The sequence below is a fragment of the Homo sapiens genome, chromosome 8 (genome assembly GCF_000001405.40).
Source record: "Homo sapiens chromosome 8, GRCh38.p14 Primary Assembly".
In the NCBI taxonomy this organism is placed as follows: domain Eukaryota; kingdom Metazoa; phylum Chordata; class Mammalia; order Primates; family Hominidae; genus Homo; species Homo sapiens.
In genome coordinates, this window is record NC_000008.11 from 103,238,137 (window position 1) to 103,254,986 (window position 16,850).

Sequence of the window (16,850 nt, forward strand, 5' to 3'; positions counted from 1 at the left end):
AGCCCTTTGTATAGCATCACATCTTGGCACTTCCAAGTTGTCAGTGCCTCTCTAGGATCAATTATAGCACCCTAGACACAATTATGCAAAATTTCAGCTTTGTTTCTTTTTTTTCTTAACAGTAATAAAGCAGTAGCAGTCTTTCCAGTTGTGCCACAATATTAAAATTCATTTGAAGATAATACTAATAAATTTGTTTTTTTTTCTAAAACATATTACAAATCTAAGCATTATCTAGGTACCATAGTAATCACTTTTTCCTCTTCCTTCTTGAATAGGAAAGTGAAGGCCTGAGCTAGCTGAGTCCCCAAAGAGAAAGGAAATGCAAATATAGGAGGTATACAATGTCTTGTACTCATTGGCCTCTTAACTATTGCTTGTGGAAAGCAACAAATATAATTATTTTCTAGTTTTAAAAAATAACAGGTGGAGGCCAGGTACAGTGGCTCACACCTGTAATCCCAGCACTTTGGGAAGCCGAGGTGGATGGATCACCTGAGGTCAGGAGTTCAAGACCAGCCTGACCAATATGATGAAACCCTGTCTCTATTAAAAATACAAAAATTAGCCAGGCATGGTGGTGTGCGCCTGTAGTCCCAGCTACTCAGGAGGCTGAGACAGGAGAATTGCTTGAACCTGGGAGGCAGAGGTTGCAGTGAGCCGAGATCGCATCACTGCACTCCAGCCTGGGCAAGAGAGTGAGACTCCACCTCAAAAAAAAAATAAAATTAAAAAATAACAGGTGGAAAGAATCATGATTGTATAGCACACTGACTGGCAATATGGCTGCACATTGGAATCACCTGAGGAGGTTTAAAAACTATTGCTGCCTGGGTCCCACCTCCTAGAGATTCTGGCTTAACTGGTCTGGGGTACAACCTAGAATCAAGATGTTTAAAAATTCCCCAGATGGTCCTGATGTACAGCCAGGTTTGAGAATCACTGGCTCAGCAGAGCACAGATGGAATTCATGTCTCAAAAATTCCATAAGGCAGCCTTAAGTCAGACTTCCTGGGTTGAATGCCAGCTACACCACCTACTAGGTTTGTAACCTTGGCAAGTCATTTCAGTTCCCCATGTTCCCTTTTGCCCATTTAGAAAATGAGGCTCAAAATATCTCATGATATCGGGAGGATTTAGTAAGGATATATTGATAAAGCACTTAGCACAGTCTCTAGCATAGGAAGGTAAACACAAGGTTATTATTGTTGAACTGTGATTCAGCCCTGAAATTTTCAGGACATGAGCAAGCCTGGCATAGAAAATTCAGCTCTCAAGGGTAAATGTACCAGAAGGCTGGCCCTTTATTTAAGTACTTTGTTCTCATCCACCACAAAATGAACCTGTTTTCAAGATAAGCACTTCTTGTCTAACACAAAATGGACCTTAGACATCCCTGGGGTGAGGAAAGTAATATCTTCAAGAAACCATCCTAAGGAGCATGTACTTGTTGGTTCTGGGAAGAAGCACTGACTCCAGATAATGTAGAGGAAGAAATCTCTTTAGTTGGTTTGGGCTCTAGGAACTTTATGATGTCCCTTTAAACTTGACATCTTTCATTTGCAGACTCTTTGGCGGGTAGTTTTCCCCAAACTGGTAATCGGCAAGTGAGACATGACTTTGGATGTAAAGATGTGATTTGTTAGGAGTTGTAGGGCAGTGAATTTGGGGCTTTCACATCTTTCCTTTGTACAGATAAACTGCCTAAAAGTTAGCATCAAATATACAATGTTGTTCTCCAGGCAGACATAATACTCATACCCAGCAGTGTGACAAGGCCAGCAACACTCCCTGTAGATCCAGGAAAGACCCAAGTAAATATGTATATTCAAATACATCAATTGAGTGGGCAAAGAAAGTTAAATTAAATCCCTTTAAACAAGAGATGCTTCTAAAACAGTTTTTTATTTGAGATCTTCGAAAGACAAAGAACAGGAGTTAGAGTTTTTATTTATTTATTTATTTATTTATTTATTTATTTATTTTATTTTTATTTATTTATTTTTGAGACAGAGTTCTGGTCTTGTTGCCCAGGCTGGAGTGCAATGGCGTGATCTCGGCTCTCCACAACCTCCACCTCCTGGGTTCAAGCAATTCTCCTGCCTCAGCCTCCTGAGTAGCTGGGATTACAGGCATGCGCCACCACACCTGGCTAATTTTGTATTTTTAGTAGAGACAGGGTTTCTCCATGTTGGCCAGGCTGGTCTTGAATGCCCAACCTCAGGTGATCCTCCCACCTTGGCCTCCCAAAGTGCTGGGATTACAGGCGTGAGCCACGGCGCCCGGCCGAGTTTTTATTTTTAAAGGATCCCTCTAACTACTGTTAGCAGAAGTAGATGGATTTGGGATACATTTTAGAGGTTGAACTGACAGAACTTGCTGTTTTGGCCTGGAATTGTTACAGAGAGCAGATGAGAAAATCAAAGAGGATTCCTAGATATTTGGTTGATGTCATTTTGTGGGAAATAGAAGGTATGGGGAAGAATAGGTTTGGGAGAGAAAATCAACAGTTCTCTTTGGGCCTAGGCACAGTGGCTCATGCCTATAATCCCAACACTTTGGGAGGCCGAGGCAGATGGCTCGAGACCAGCCTGGGCAACATGGTGAAACCCTGTCTCCACAAAAAACAGAAAAGGAAAAATTAGCTGGGTGTGGTGGCATGCACCTATAGTCCCAGCTACTTGAGAGGCTGAGGTAGGAGGATCACCTGAGCCCAGGAATTTGAGGCTGCAGTGAGCCATGATCATGACACTGCACTCCAACCCAGGTGACAGAGTGAGACCCTATCTCAAAAAACAAACAAAAAAGAGTTCTGTTTGGGCATGAAAGTGTTTAATGTTTATTGGACATTTGGGTGGAGATGTCGAGTAGGCAGTTGGAAATTCAAGTCTGTAGCTTAGGGATGAGAGCAGGTGGTCTCTCAGCAGTCATTGGCAATACATGATTCGTGGGACTGCAAGAGCTCATCACGGGAGAGAATATAAAGAAGCCCTTTCCCCTCATTCTGTAGATGAGGGAACTATGCTCAGAATAGACGTATCTGTTTTCACAGTGAATCAGCAATAGAATCAGGATTAGAATCCAAATCTAATACCACTGAGGGATTCCAAGGTGCAGGACTTGCAGTGCTAAAACCATGGAAGTTCCAGGCAGCCAAGGAGGGTTGATCACCCTATTCCTAGGCCAGTGATCACCTAACCATTTTCTCCTTTGGCAACCTGGAAGTGATTGATTGCTGTGAGTGCTTTATTTATTCTTGTTTTCAAGAGAAGATTGTTTTCATTCTTTTCTATGTCAATGAAATATTATGTTCATTTGGAAGAAGACTTAGCTTTTTCGGAGAGGAAATTACAAAGTGGTAATTACCATGTTTTCTTGCTCCTCCTGGAATAATCAGAGCAAGAAAGACAATATTTTTGATGGTGGCACATGATTAACTCTCAAGACAAAGCTGAAATCTCAGCTGGAGGGAGAGGGGCAGGAGAGAATAAAGTGCCTCAAACTGAGCTCAGCATCTCCCTGAACTCAGCCACTCCTCCTGACTCTTCTGTTTATGTTGCTATCACATCTTTTCTCTCCCCTTTATCTCTCCCTTCCTGATACCACTCCAGTTTCTTAGCTCTATAAATTTGTCCTCATCAACGTGCCTTGCATCTGACATTCAATGACCCACTATACACAAAATTGCTCAAAACAGAAACTCTGGAGTCACCCTTGACCTTCCTTTCTCCCTCTCTGATGGAATCTTTTCTCCCACACTTCCCAAATGCCTTTTATACCTGTCTTTTCCTCTCATGTCTCACAACCACCACCTTAGCACAGGCCACCAAAACCCCTGGATTTCTATAGAAGTCTACTGCGTTCTTTATCTCCCACTTTGCCTCTAATCCAGGCTCCACACTGATGACAAAATTATCTTTTTAAAATGCAAATCTGATTATAGCACTTGCTGCCTTCATCATTAATGCTTTTTAAATTTTAAAATTTTTATTTATATATAATAGTTGTACATATTTTGGGAATGCCAGTGCTATTTTGATGCCTGTCTTCAATGTCTAATGATCAAATCAGGGTCACTGGAATATCCTTCACCTCAAACATTGATCTTTTCTTTGTGTTGGGAACATTACAATTCTTCTCTTCCAGCTATTCTGAAATACACAATAAATTATTGTTAAATATAATATCCCTACTGTACTATCAAATATCAGGACCTATGCCTTTTCTCTAACTGTATTTTTGTACCTGTTAAGATTTAGACTTTACTAAGACTGGCTTCCTCCATATTTACTTCAAAATCTGGCTCCTTCCATCACTTCCAGTCAGTTTCTATATTCAGATCAGATCTTTTTGGATCCTCTCATTGGGAAGACGGGAGATCGTCTTATGTTTGAGGTTGCTTTGCTTGTGGCAGTGATTCAGTGCCTGAATGTAAAGGAAACATCTCTCATTCCTCTCAGCTGGGATCCCTACCTTCAGTCACCCTCGCTGCAGTTCAGCCTATCCTGCTGCGCAGCGAGAGGAGTGGCTGTGGTGTGCTGGGAGTATTGATCTTGGAGTCAAGAGACTCCAGTAGAATTCTAGCTCTGTCACTTTCAATCCGTCTGACTTTGGGCAAATCATTTAACTTGTCTGAACTTCATTTGCCTAATCTGTAAAATGAAGGCACTCCATAAATGTTAATTAAAACTGAAACTTCCTTGCTCTAAATTTTTAGTAACTCTCATTGCCAGACTTACCCAATTTCTCAGTCTGGCTGGTTTTCAAAACCCTCCCTCTGTCTGCAGCTTTAACCAACTTGCACATACTTTGTGCTACACACCAGGCTACTGGCAGCCCTCTGGACACCCATCACACTGTGCCTTAGGCAAAAATGTCCACTGGAGCATCCCTCTCGTCACTGTTGTCACACTCATTCACCTTCTGAGGTTCAGTTCCATTGCTACCTCATTCTGCAATGAAAGTTTTCTTAATCCCTCAACCAAATGTAATCTCTCCCTCTGCTAAATGCCCCGTCTCTCTATATATAGTTTATGGTACCAATCTATTCATGTTATAGAAGTTCCTGTGCTTGTCTAGTAAGTGATTAGGATCCTCCACTTTATTGTAAGGACCTTAGCATCATAGGACACATTATGTTGAGCATTCTATGTCCTCAACAATTATTTATTAAAGTACTTATGGGACAAGGGCATTAGCAAAATCCATCATCTAAATGCCTAATTAGGAATCTATTAATTCATTTGTTCACTTATCAAGCATTCACTGAGTGTTTTTTTAAGTCCTGGAGATTTATAGAGAATTTTAGACAGAGTTCCAACCTTGAACGATCTCATAACATAATCAGACAGCTAAAATATAATGTGATAAATACATAATAGGAAATCAGCAGATAAATAAACATGATTACAAATACTTTATTTTATTGATTATAGTGAAATGCCTCAAAAAATTCCATTTTAGTCTTTGTAAAGTCCTACAGTTTAGATACACAAACCCATGCATGTCTGCTTAGGCAGAAGGAGCAGGGAATTACTATTTGTTGAATGCCTATTAGGTGCTGTATTGGTTCTTGTACTGCTATAAAGAATACCTGAGGCTGGGCAATTTATAAAGAAAAGAGGTTTAATTGGCTCATAGTTCCACAGGCTGTACAGGAGGCATGGCAGGGGAGGCCTCAGGAAACTTACAATCATGGCAGAAGGTGAACAGGAAGCAGGCACATTGAACATTGCTGGAGCAGGAGGAAAAGTGGGGTGGGGAGGTGCCACACACTTTTAGACAACCAGATCTCACGAGAACTCTATCATGAGAACAGCTCTAGGGAGACAGTGATAAACCATTAGAAACCACCCCCATGATTCAATCACCTCCCACCAGGTCCCACCTCCAACATAACAGATTACATTTCAACATGAGATTTGGATGGGGATACAGATCCAAACCATATCCGGTGCCAAGCAATATATACACATTATTTCATTGTCAGAGGTATTGTGGGATATTGCTATAATCCCCACTTTATAGCTGAGGAAACTTAGGTTAAGAATTGTCACATAACTTGTGTAAGGCCTTACAATTAGAAGTCCTGAGTCAGTTTTTAAACCCAGGACTCTTTGATATCAACTGGCCTGTGACATCAACTTTTTAGACGACAACCAGACAGCAACTTGAGGGCCTGCGGGTAGTCTGACCCAGGAACTTGAGCTACTGATTTGGAACTACAGGAATTTGCTTCTTGGCCAGAAAACTTAGATATCAAAGGGACCAGGGATATTTGGCCAGGCTAAGATAAGATTTAGAGGAATCATTCAACCAGGAAATATGGTAAGATAGTCCAGGTGACAACTCAGGAAAGAATTGCCACTTCGAAGCCGGAACACAAAACCCTCTCCCTGAAGTTCTATCTTTGAAAACTTCACCTCTTTTGAAGCACCCTCCAAGGGAAAGGAGCCAAGGGCTGCTCCTGTTCTAAGTTTTATCTTCTAACCTCAGCTTCCACTCAGTCACCTCATTAGAACAATGGAATGTGGTGAAACTGTAAGCACAGAATGATGAAGGTGGGAGTGCCGTCAGGAGGAACACCACGCTGTGATTTCCAACAATGTAGAAAAAGAAGCTAACATTCTCAAGACTTTGTGGAAAGATTAAGGAGACAGCTTTCTAGGGGGAAGAAATGCAATAATTCCTCTAACAGATGTGTTTGCCTCAAAATAGAAACAAATTGTATTGTATAATGCGAAAATGCTTTCAAATATTTGTACAAAAAAAGTGAGGTGGTAAATAACAGACTTTGCTATTCTTCTGTCTTTACTCAAAGATCTCTAAATTCCACTAAAGTTATGTTTTCCACTGTAGAGGGCAGAGCTATGGCCAGACAAGGCTCCTTCTGCATTCAAATTGAAAAGTGGTGAGAACTGTGCTTATTTCTGCAGCTGGTGCTAATATCAGTCCATAGACTTAGGTGTTCAAGAAATGCAAAAATTTGAGTTTTATAACTCAAAATCTACCATAGTCTTCATTCTTCCAGGTGAAAGAAACTTAATCTCAGCCTATTTAGGGTTTCTGTTTTTCCTAAGAGTTATATCTTTGTACCAGGAATACCAAAAGGCTGGGGTGGGAGTGCACACGACAGACAGTATCCGGACATCTGTCCCTATCCATCCACACTGCCATCCACTGAGGTAGACTTTGGTCTGCATGATGACTCATTCCAGTCTGCAAGGTCCTTTCCTATCCAGTGGTTTTCTTACACTCTTGTAGGTGCACAGGAAACATTTTGTGGCTTCCAAGCCACACCAGGTCCAGGAAAGCAACCCCGTGCTTCTAAGACCCTATCTGCTTCCATGCAGTTTGGGGGCCTATGAAGTTATTCCATTGCCCTGTGCTATGCAGGGCTGCAATAGCCTCTGCTGTTCAGGCCCTTTAGCCAGGACCAACCACACTGCCCCTTCTCCATGGATATTTTCCCTCCCTTCTGGGGACTCACTTGGGAAAGCACTTCTAGTACCCTCACTGTCTTACCCTAATCTTCCAAATCTATCTTGAGATTCTCTTGCTCTCCTCTCCCTCTCAGGACCACACATTTAAAACTCCAAAACCAAGCGGATAATCTGTGACTGGAAGGAGAGAGGGAGGTCACGGGGTAGCAGAAAGTATGAGGGGGAAGGACCAGGTAGGTCTTGTCTCAAAATGGCACTCACAGTTTTCTGTTTTGTTGTTGAGTCTAAATGATCCTCTCTCCCCAAAACAAACAAAAAATATGTTTTTTAAAATTTAAAGACATATTTCAAACTGTTTATAGCCCAATTCATTTAGCTTTGATGATCTCTCCTATTTCTGACAGTTACAAATGCAAATGTTCTCTTTGGGAAATCAAATGTTACTTTGAGTTCCTGGGATGTTTATGCAGAGCTATCAGAGAGGGAGGCAGTTTATGACATGGGAACCCAAACTTAGCCAGGGGTAGGGGGGCACATTTTCCTCACACTCTAAGACAGGGCTAATAGCTATAATTTCACCTGCATTCCTGGATAGCAGCCCTTTCTTGCCCCAGGCTCTGGCACGATGCCTCCCAAGATAAGGGTCTGATAACAGACCTGGCTATACAGGAAAGCAAAGTAGGTCATCCTAGTTAAGTGATTTGAGGGCAATTACCTTCCATTTGAGGATGCTGCCTGCTCCAGGCATCTTCTTTACCAGCTCACTGTGGGCTCTCCCCTTCCTCTGGGGAAAATTTGTTTCATCAAGGTTATTTCTTTGTTTTAGAAAGCACAGATTTGAAGACACTGCCTTGACTCCATACAGACAGAAAGCCCTTCCAGGCGGCTTTTGATTTCTCCTGGTACCTGCAGACTGCAGGGCAACCAAAGGAACTGGGATGCTTGCAGAGTGTTCTCTATTCATTCACAGAGTCTTCCCATCTCTTTTCTCTCTTCTCCACAGCAAGTCCTCTTCTGAACCCTCATTGCCAAATATCTGCATGTTGTTATGGAGCTGTCTCAGCACGGGGTCTTTGACGCCTGTATCCTCACACCCTTAGAAGATCCTGAGAAAGGAAGATAACGTGAGAAACTTCAATGTCTTCCTGCCATAAGCAATGTCTTCCTGCAATCAGCTTCCAACTGTATGCATCCAAAGGTGGTAGAATTTGTTAGCTCTTTTTTCCTTCTCAGCAAATTTTAGTTACAAGCTGGAGCATAATTTTCTTAGCTTTTATGAAGTCCTTCAGAACTATAGGTGTTGAAACAAAGTGCTGAAGATATTCTTCATTGGAAAACAATTTCTAACCCACTCCAGTTTCAAGAGGAGCCCTGGGAAACACACAAAAGACTGAAAATTCCCTTATTCACCTGCCAATTTCTCCATTTACTAAGGAGGTAACCTGGAGAAAATGGTTTGAGTCTTTGTGCTCAGTTCCTACTCGGAATTCAAGTTGGAGAGAACAATGTTGATTACATTTCTAGCAGCAGCAAATACAATGGGAAGTAAAGCTCTTTTGGTATGTGTCAGGGTAATTTTTATCATAAACAATTGGGTTGTCACACATTAGTCATACGTAAGTATTAGATCCATAATAATGTGTTCATTCTCCAACTTTGACATTTAACATTAAGTTTAGAATAGAGATTTTTCAACCATAGCTGCACATTAGAATAATCTGGGGATTTTTAAAGCAATAGTTAAGCCACACACAATCTCAGAGATTCTGACTTAATTGCTTTGGGGTGAAAGTCAAGGTGTCAGCATTGTATTAAAATCTTCACAGGTGATTCTAATCTGAAGCTGGGGTGTGGAACCACTAATAGAGAGAACATAATGCAGGCTTTGGGGTTGGACAGACTTCGGTTCAAATCCCTGCTCTACCACTAATTGGTTGTGTGATTTGGGGGGAATTACTTAATGATTTTAAGCCTAAATTTCCTCCTCTGTCAAAAGGAAGATGGAGTAGTCATATAGTTCGAATATATGTCCCCATCAAATCTCATGTTGAAATTTAATCCCCAAGCTGGGAGGTGGGCCTGGTGGGAGGTGTTTGGGTCATGGGAGTGGATTCCTCATGGCCTGGTGCTGTCCTTGAGCTAGTGAGTGAGTTCTCACAAGAGCTGGTTGTTTAAAAGTGTGGCACCTCCCGCAATCACTGCTGCTCCTGCTTCATCTTCTGCCATAAGTAAAAGCTCCCTGAGGCCTCCCCAGAAGTGGAGCATATGCCAGCAACATGCTTGTACAGCTTGCAGAACCATGAACCAACTGAACCTCTATTCTTTAAAAGTTACCTAGTCTCAGGTATTTCTTTATAGCAACACAAGAACAGCTTTATACAGGTAGTGTTTAAGGGGCGGTATTAAAGATTAAATGAGGTAACCGGCATATGTAAAACATGAATTGCCTGGCACAGAATAGGTATGCTATAAATATAGGTGCTCATCCTCCCCTTTTATACTTGATCATTTTTAAGATTCAAGTGCTAATCCTTGAGGGAAACGGGGGAAACCCTATGGACCTAGTGCTTGGAATTGAAGTGAAGGTAGATTTGGTGTTGATCAAAGTAGAGAATAAGGAGGATGAGGTCAAATCTCAATTTTCTATGTGATGAATAATCATACAAGGGTTGCAAATCACAGTTCCATAATCGCAGCTCTCAGAACATTCTGGTACAGTTTCCTTTTTTAAAATTAAACCTTCTGGTACCATACTGTAGAATCTATATTTTAAATTTAATATTCAATAAAGTTTTCCTGAGGTGTTTTCAGATATGAAAAATCACTTGGATATTCTGTTCCATGCACTTTATTTGTTCTCTAATATTGGCTATTAGTAGGAAATTTACAACTCCACAGTTGTATTTACAACATTCACAAAAGATAATTTATTGAAGATACTCCACCTGTTCCTCCTAAACTCCTATTTTGCCCCCGTGTTGTGCTGAACCCTTATTAACCTCAACAAAGAAGCTTCCATGTTCAAGAGGCCAAAGAAGAGATCCTGAGCCAGGACATGAGACATGGGGTTTTATTAGGGGCTCACAAACAGCAGAGAGAGCCCAGTGGCGGTGGGCTGGACAATGTATCCCACCTTCCTGCAGTCCAGTGGCAGTGGGCTGGACAGGAAAATTGCAATGGCTTGCAAACATCCAGTGTACGTAGTATTTTCACTTAACACCCTCCCCTTAACAACCTCCACTTGGCAACCTTCATATAACCCAAAACTCAGGGCCTCAATCCCCTGCATGGCCTATGTTCCACAGGATGAGACAGGGGCTTAGATATTCTTCATAGACAAGGAGCAAATCTCAGGGTTGGCCACTCCCAGATTCTATAGCTTGAAACAGTCATTCGGGTGTATCTGCCATATAGGGTCATGATCAGGGTATGCTTACATTATTGCTATCAGGTACATTTCCTCTATACCACCTGCCAAGAAAGAGCCTGAGATTGCTTTCTAAATGTCTTAAAATAAAAGCTGTGAAGAAAGACGATGCCATCCAGGCCATCAGCAAATAACAAAAACCCTGTGAGCAAGAACATGACTCATGCTCCGTGCTATAGCTTTGAGGGCTCAAGGTGATCTTCTCTGGTAAAAAGCTCAAGATGCCAGAAAAACCCCTGGACAGGCTGAGGGCAATTGGAACAAAGAATTCAAAAGAACAGAAGAGTGAGGAAGAGCAGGTTTGGGGAGAGTGGAAAGAAAGACATGCTCCAATGCTTGAGATAAACCGGGTAATGTGGAACTGGGCCCAACTGATTGCTTTGTTGGAAACCAGCTGAGCCAAGAGTCTAAGAATTTGGTAATTCTGGGTCAGATCCTTTTCCTCTTAGCACTAACAAATTAGGAGCTAGCCTAGCACAGGGAATGACTCGTTGTATTGCTTTCTTTCCTCACCTCCCCTCTCCTTTTTTAAAAAATGGGGACAGGGTCTTGCTTTGTTGCCCAGGCTGGTCTTGAACTTCTGGGCTCAGTTGATCCTTCTGCCTCAGCCTCCCAAAGTGCTGGGAGTACAGGCATGAGCCACTACACCCTGCCTTTTCCCTCTTTTTAAGGATGTAGATATTAGATACTAATTTTTTTAAATTAAATAGCTAGAAGGGAACCTGGGTCATTTCATCTAGACTGTCTTCAGCAGAGCAATGCTCAACTTATAAATAAATCTCCAATTCATACACACACACACACACACACACACACACACACACACACACACACGATGGGGTAAAATTTCCTTATAAAAGTTAAAATATAAATATATTTTATGTCATATAGTATTGACTAAGAGCTTTGGCTCACAAGCAGCACAAATGTGTATGCTAATCCCAGCTTCCAAATTACTAGCCATGTTGCTATCTTGCTAAGCCTCAGTTTCCTCATCTTTGGAATGAGAATAATAATAGCATCTACATCACAGATGTGATGTGAGGATGAAGTGTTAGTGCTGGACACAAAACGACCACTCCAAGTAGTGAGCTATTGATGTTAAAAATATGGGGAAAATCACATATTTATAATTGATGACATATGGTATGGAAAGCACTTAAAACAGTGTCTGGCACATGGTAGGTGCTGATGTCATCACCCTCTTCTTCCTCCTCATCACCATACTAGACTGCATTTCATTTCCTAGATGATATTTAGTCCAAGTTATTTTTGTGATACCTTTCTTTCTTTCCCCTCTAATTGCCAATGCACTTCTCCTAATATGAGTGATATGTATCTCAATATTTCCCAAAATGACTCAAAAAAGTATTAAATCACCTCCACATAGCCATGAGATAATATTGGATATATAAATAATATATATTTTTAATTTGTATTTCAAAATGTTATTTCCATATACAGTTATTGTATTTTGTAACCCAAAAGTCAGGATACAACGTTATATCCATGGTCTGACAAGGGGACAGAACACTTAGAATTGAGCCTTCCCTGCATCAGCTTGACTACATTCAGTGATAGAAATGTATTAGACTTGGCCAAGCTTTGTCCTCAAAATTGCTTCCTAATCAAATTCTGGCCTAGGAACTCCTTGGCATGCCTCCATGCAAAGATGGAATGGGTCTCTTCTTGAGGAGAGTACTGGTGGGTTCCTCCCTGGTGCAATAGGATGCCAGCCTTCCTCTTCACTGTCTGGTTTCTAGGACATCTGCTGTCAAACAGGGTCTCTATCTACCAGTATTCCAGAGCCTTGCAAGAGAGAGTAGCATCAAACAGTCTGGTCTGCTTCTATCAAAAGCCTCCCCAATAAAAAAGATAGATACTTGTTATTGGCTGAAGAATATACAGTTTTTCACCTTTCCAGGTACTCTAAATTACAGACTTGTATCACATTGAATCCAAGGCTGCCTATACATATTAACAACTGATGTTTATTGAGCACTAACTAGTGCTAGGCATTATATAAGCACTTTACTTACATTATCTCACTTAACCTTCTCTCTCTTTATATATATATATATATATATATATATAAAGCAGAAATACAGAAAGAGCCTGGACCCAGAAAACATCCATGAATAGCTGCATTGGCCATGGATGGCCTGACCCTGGACTTATTATATCAGAAAAATAACCCCCTAAGTAATTCTGATAGATTTTTTCATTCTTGGAGCCAAACACGTTTCAAATTGATACACTTCATTTTATGAATAAGGAAACTAAAGCTCAGTGAGTTTGGGTAATTTCTCCAAAGTCCTGTGGCCAGTAGATGCTAGAAACAGGATTTGTACCCACATCTGCCCAGCACCAACACACATGCTCTTACTCACAAGAGCACTGAAGCGCCCTCCCATCACTGTATCTGCATCAGTTCACCACGTCTCATCCTTCCCAAACCATGTGTCACAGAACTCAGATATTATTCATAGATATGCCTCAGCAGAAATGTTTTGGTGGTAAGTTAAGTTCTAAGAACACAGAGTTTTGTATTCCCTTTTTGTAGAGAACCACAAAGCATATCAAAACGTCAGTTTCCAAAAAAAAACAAAAAACCTATTATTAAGAAACCTGCTTGACTTTGATTAATTCAGTGGTTCCCAAACTTATTTGAGTACGGAACGCATTTTTTTAAATGACTTTTCTATAAATATCTTCCAGAACATTGTTCCCTTGAACGCCAATTTGGGAGATCACTCACTGAATTTTAAGCATTATTTCCTCAGCTTTGGTTTAAAGTAAAAGGAAAGTGAGTCACAATTTTGTCCATTCTGCACCTCCTGGTCCCCTATGAAGTCCCAAAGGATAAATTTCTTTGAGAATCTGGTGCTCAGGGCAAAATATGTACCTCCTGAGGAAGTTATTTGCTTCCTTTTTAAAAATAAAAGTATGTGACTTACAGAGCTTCTCCTTTTGTTTTGGCTTTCTGGAGGCTGAGACAAATGGGAAGCAATTATCAGCTCAGGTTCCTGGGTTTTACAGATTTGTTGTTGTTGTTTTTTTTAATCTGATCTTGATTTTTCCTCTTGATCTTCCCTGTCTTAATTCTGTATTTGAGTTTTATTTGGCATTATTGTATATGTTCTTGTGAATGACATTATGTTTGTGGAATAGAGTGGAGTACAAATTCGTTAAATAAAAATCAAGACTGACCTGAGGCTGGGCGCAGTGGCTCACGCCTGTAATCCCAGCACTTTGGAGGCTGATGCAGGTGGACCACAAGCTCAGGAGTTCGAGACCAGCCTGGCCAATATGGTGAAATCTCATCTCTACTAAAAATACAAAAATTAGCTGGGTGTGGTGGTGGGCACCTGTAGTCCCAGCTACTCCGGAGGCTGAGGCAGGAGAATCGCTTGAATGCAGGAGGCGGAGGTTGCAGTGAGCCAAGATCGTGCCACTGCACTCCAGCCTGGGTGACAGAGTGAGCTTCTGTCTCAAAAAAAAAAAGACTGACCTGAAAAATACAAGTCATAGGGCCTGTTTGTCAACATGATTGTACTGATAGTATCTGATCGAAGAATCGGTGTAGTTTTTAATAATTGATACTATAAAACTTGAAATTACGGCTTATGAATATCTAATGAGAGGAAGGAATAGATTTTCAAATGGGGATATATTCTTGGAGATAGAACATAAATGCCTTTGCTGAATTTTTATTGAAATTAATTATACTTCTCTAGATTGCCAAGCTAAATCAATATCTATACCATCAAATTCAGTAACCAAATTAATCACAACCTTGCAAAAATAAAATAAAATTAAGAAAGACATGCCCTGTGATACATACCTATTTCAGGAAACCTAGTTAACCATGGTTGAATAGCCATCACTTCCTTAAGAAGGAATACAATTTGCTATAATTGTCAACACAGAGGAGCAGTAAGTTATTTGTGAAGTTGGTGACTTGTGCCATTTATTGAAGAGTCAACCCAACAAGCCCCAGATCAATAAACAAATGTCAACTAAGGGACATACTGTGAAATACAGTAGGCAATACAAAGAAATATGATCTCGCGGCTGCTATGAGAGAACACTCAAGTATTAAGAAGGGGCTAGGAGAAGCAGCTCAGAATGTTATTTGCAGCTTTTGTTTTAAAACGAACTCCTATAGCACTGCTTTCAGACATCATCAATTGTATTGATAATCTTTCATTTTTCTATATGGCCTCTCTTAGATCTTTAAAACCCTAAAGTCCAGATTTTAATCCGAGACATGGTGACTGCTTAGATAAATTTCATGTGTGAAGATAGAACATTTTAAAATATTAGCATTTGTTTCTTTCTCTCTACTTTTTCAGGCAGCAAAAAGATGTCCTCTTGGTGGCCTTCAGAAAAGGGTTCTTGCAATATAAACGCAAAGAAACAAAAGGGATCTGATTTTATCTTTTGAGTTTCTATGTCGATCTTTGGACCCATGGCTGAAAAAACAGCTTGAGAGAAAAGAGTTTTCAAGAACAAAAGCCAAATCCCTCTTAGAGTTGGTTAGCCTGCATAAAACAGAAAATGGAAAAGCTTGAATACAGTTTATTTCCCTTTCTTGTAGAAGAAGTCTGGTAGATAGGCTAGAGCAGGTGTGGTTATCAGAGATTCAGACTCTGTCTATATTTCAGTTACCTCCTAGTACTAGCTTGCAGCCTCAAGATTACCTGCTGGTACAAGATGGTTGCTAGAGCTCCAACCATTATAACTACATCTGAGGCAATAGGAACTAGGGAAAGGCAAAGAGAAGACCTTCCTGCTGAGTCAGATCACTTACGCAGCCGTCTCAGAAGTACCAGGCAACTCTTACGCTTATATTTCATTTGTCTGATTGTAGTTACATGACCATGCTGGGCTTCAAGGGAGCCTGGAAAACATAATTTTTTTAGCAGGGCACACAGCTGATTCAAAAAAAGAAACCAGCACTTGTTACTGAAGCAGAAAGGGAGAATAGATGTAGAGTTGCAAATAACAGTCCTTGCCACATCTCTAAAGAACCCAAGGGGGTAAAGTTGATACCTAAGTGTAAGTTGAGAATAATTCTTGATTATGCAGGTGCAAATTTTCTAACCCTAGATGAGATAAACATTCTTTGGACTGGAGGATGAGCAAAATAACAGAAAGGACATGAAAAGAAAATAGATGTTGTGCATCCCCACGCGGGTCCCTGTGCCCCAAGAGTCATCATCAGATCCTCCAGAGGGGGCACCAGAAACCTCAGATAGACTGGCAGATCCAAACCAGAGAAGTCCTGTGCCTTGCACCTGATAGAGGCCTGGTAGATAACAAGCTTCATGGCATTTCTCCTGACCTGCCTGGTGAGATATCCATACTGGAAATGGCAGCCTGGCATGTCTAGGCAGCAAAGCCTGCAAGAACTCCATGAGATCCCGTGTGATCCTACAGTAGTTTGGAAGAGCACCCAAAATGTCCCAAGGCCTTCACACTCCCTTATGAGGGGCTCAAAAGTAGCTGAGAGGGGCCAGCAGGTTTGAAGACTAAGTCAGAGATGAGAAGGATATGGGGTAACTTTCCTGGACCAACTACCAGAAACCAGATGGGGAACCCAGATGTTCTAGAAATTTCCTTTAGGGATGATGTACAACTCCGCAGATGCCAGCAGGGACAGATGCCTCCCTCTCCCTCAACACGTGGCTCTGTGAAAACTCCTCAGAATTTAGACATGATCTAGGGAACAGAGGGTGGTAGAAACCCTGAACTGACTGGGGTTGGGGGGAAGGCAGATTTGAGAGTGAAAATTCTGATTTGACTATGTTTTCTTTAAAATGGCTGGGGTTAAATTATCCTACCAGGCAGAATGGAGATTTAAAATTAAAATTCAGTTATAGAAAAAATTATTTTATAAAACTGAGTGTATGACTTGTGAAAATTCATCTGCAAAACATGCTTTCTCAGTTTGTCAATTCTCACTACTAAAAGCCACT

The 16,850-nt window shown here is 40.9% G+C and overlaps 1 long non-coding RNA gene across 2 annotated transcripts in view; it reads right to left on the bottom strand.

Moving 5' to 3' along the window:
* Positions 1-5,401: 5,401 nt before the first annotated feature.
* Positions 5,402-16,850, bottom strand: part of LOC105369147 (uncharacterized) — a 55,281-nt gene continuing 43,832 nt past the window's right edge. For both annotated transcript variants that reach the window (NR_148216.1, NR_148213.1), the window contains one exon: positions 5,402-8,548. This is a non-coding gene — a long non-coding RNA (uncharacterized LOC105369147). The remainder of the gene's footprint in view (positions 8,549-16,850) is intronic.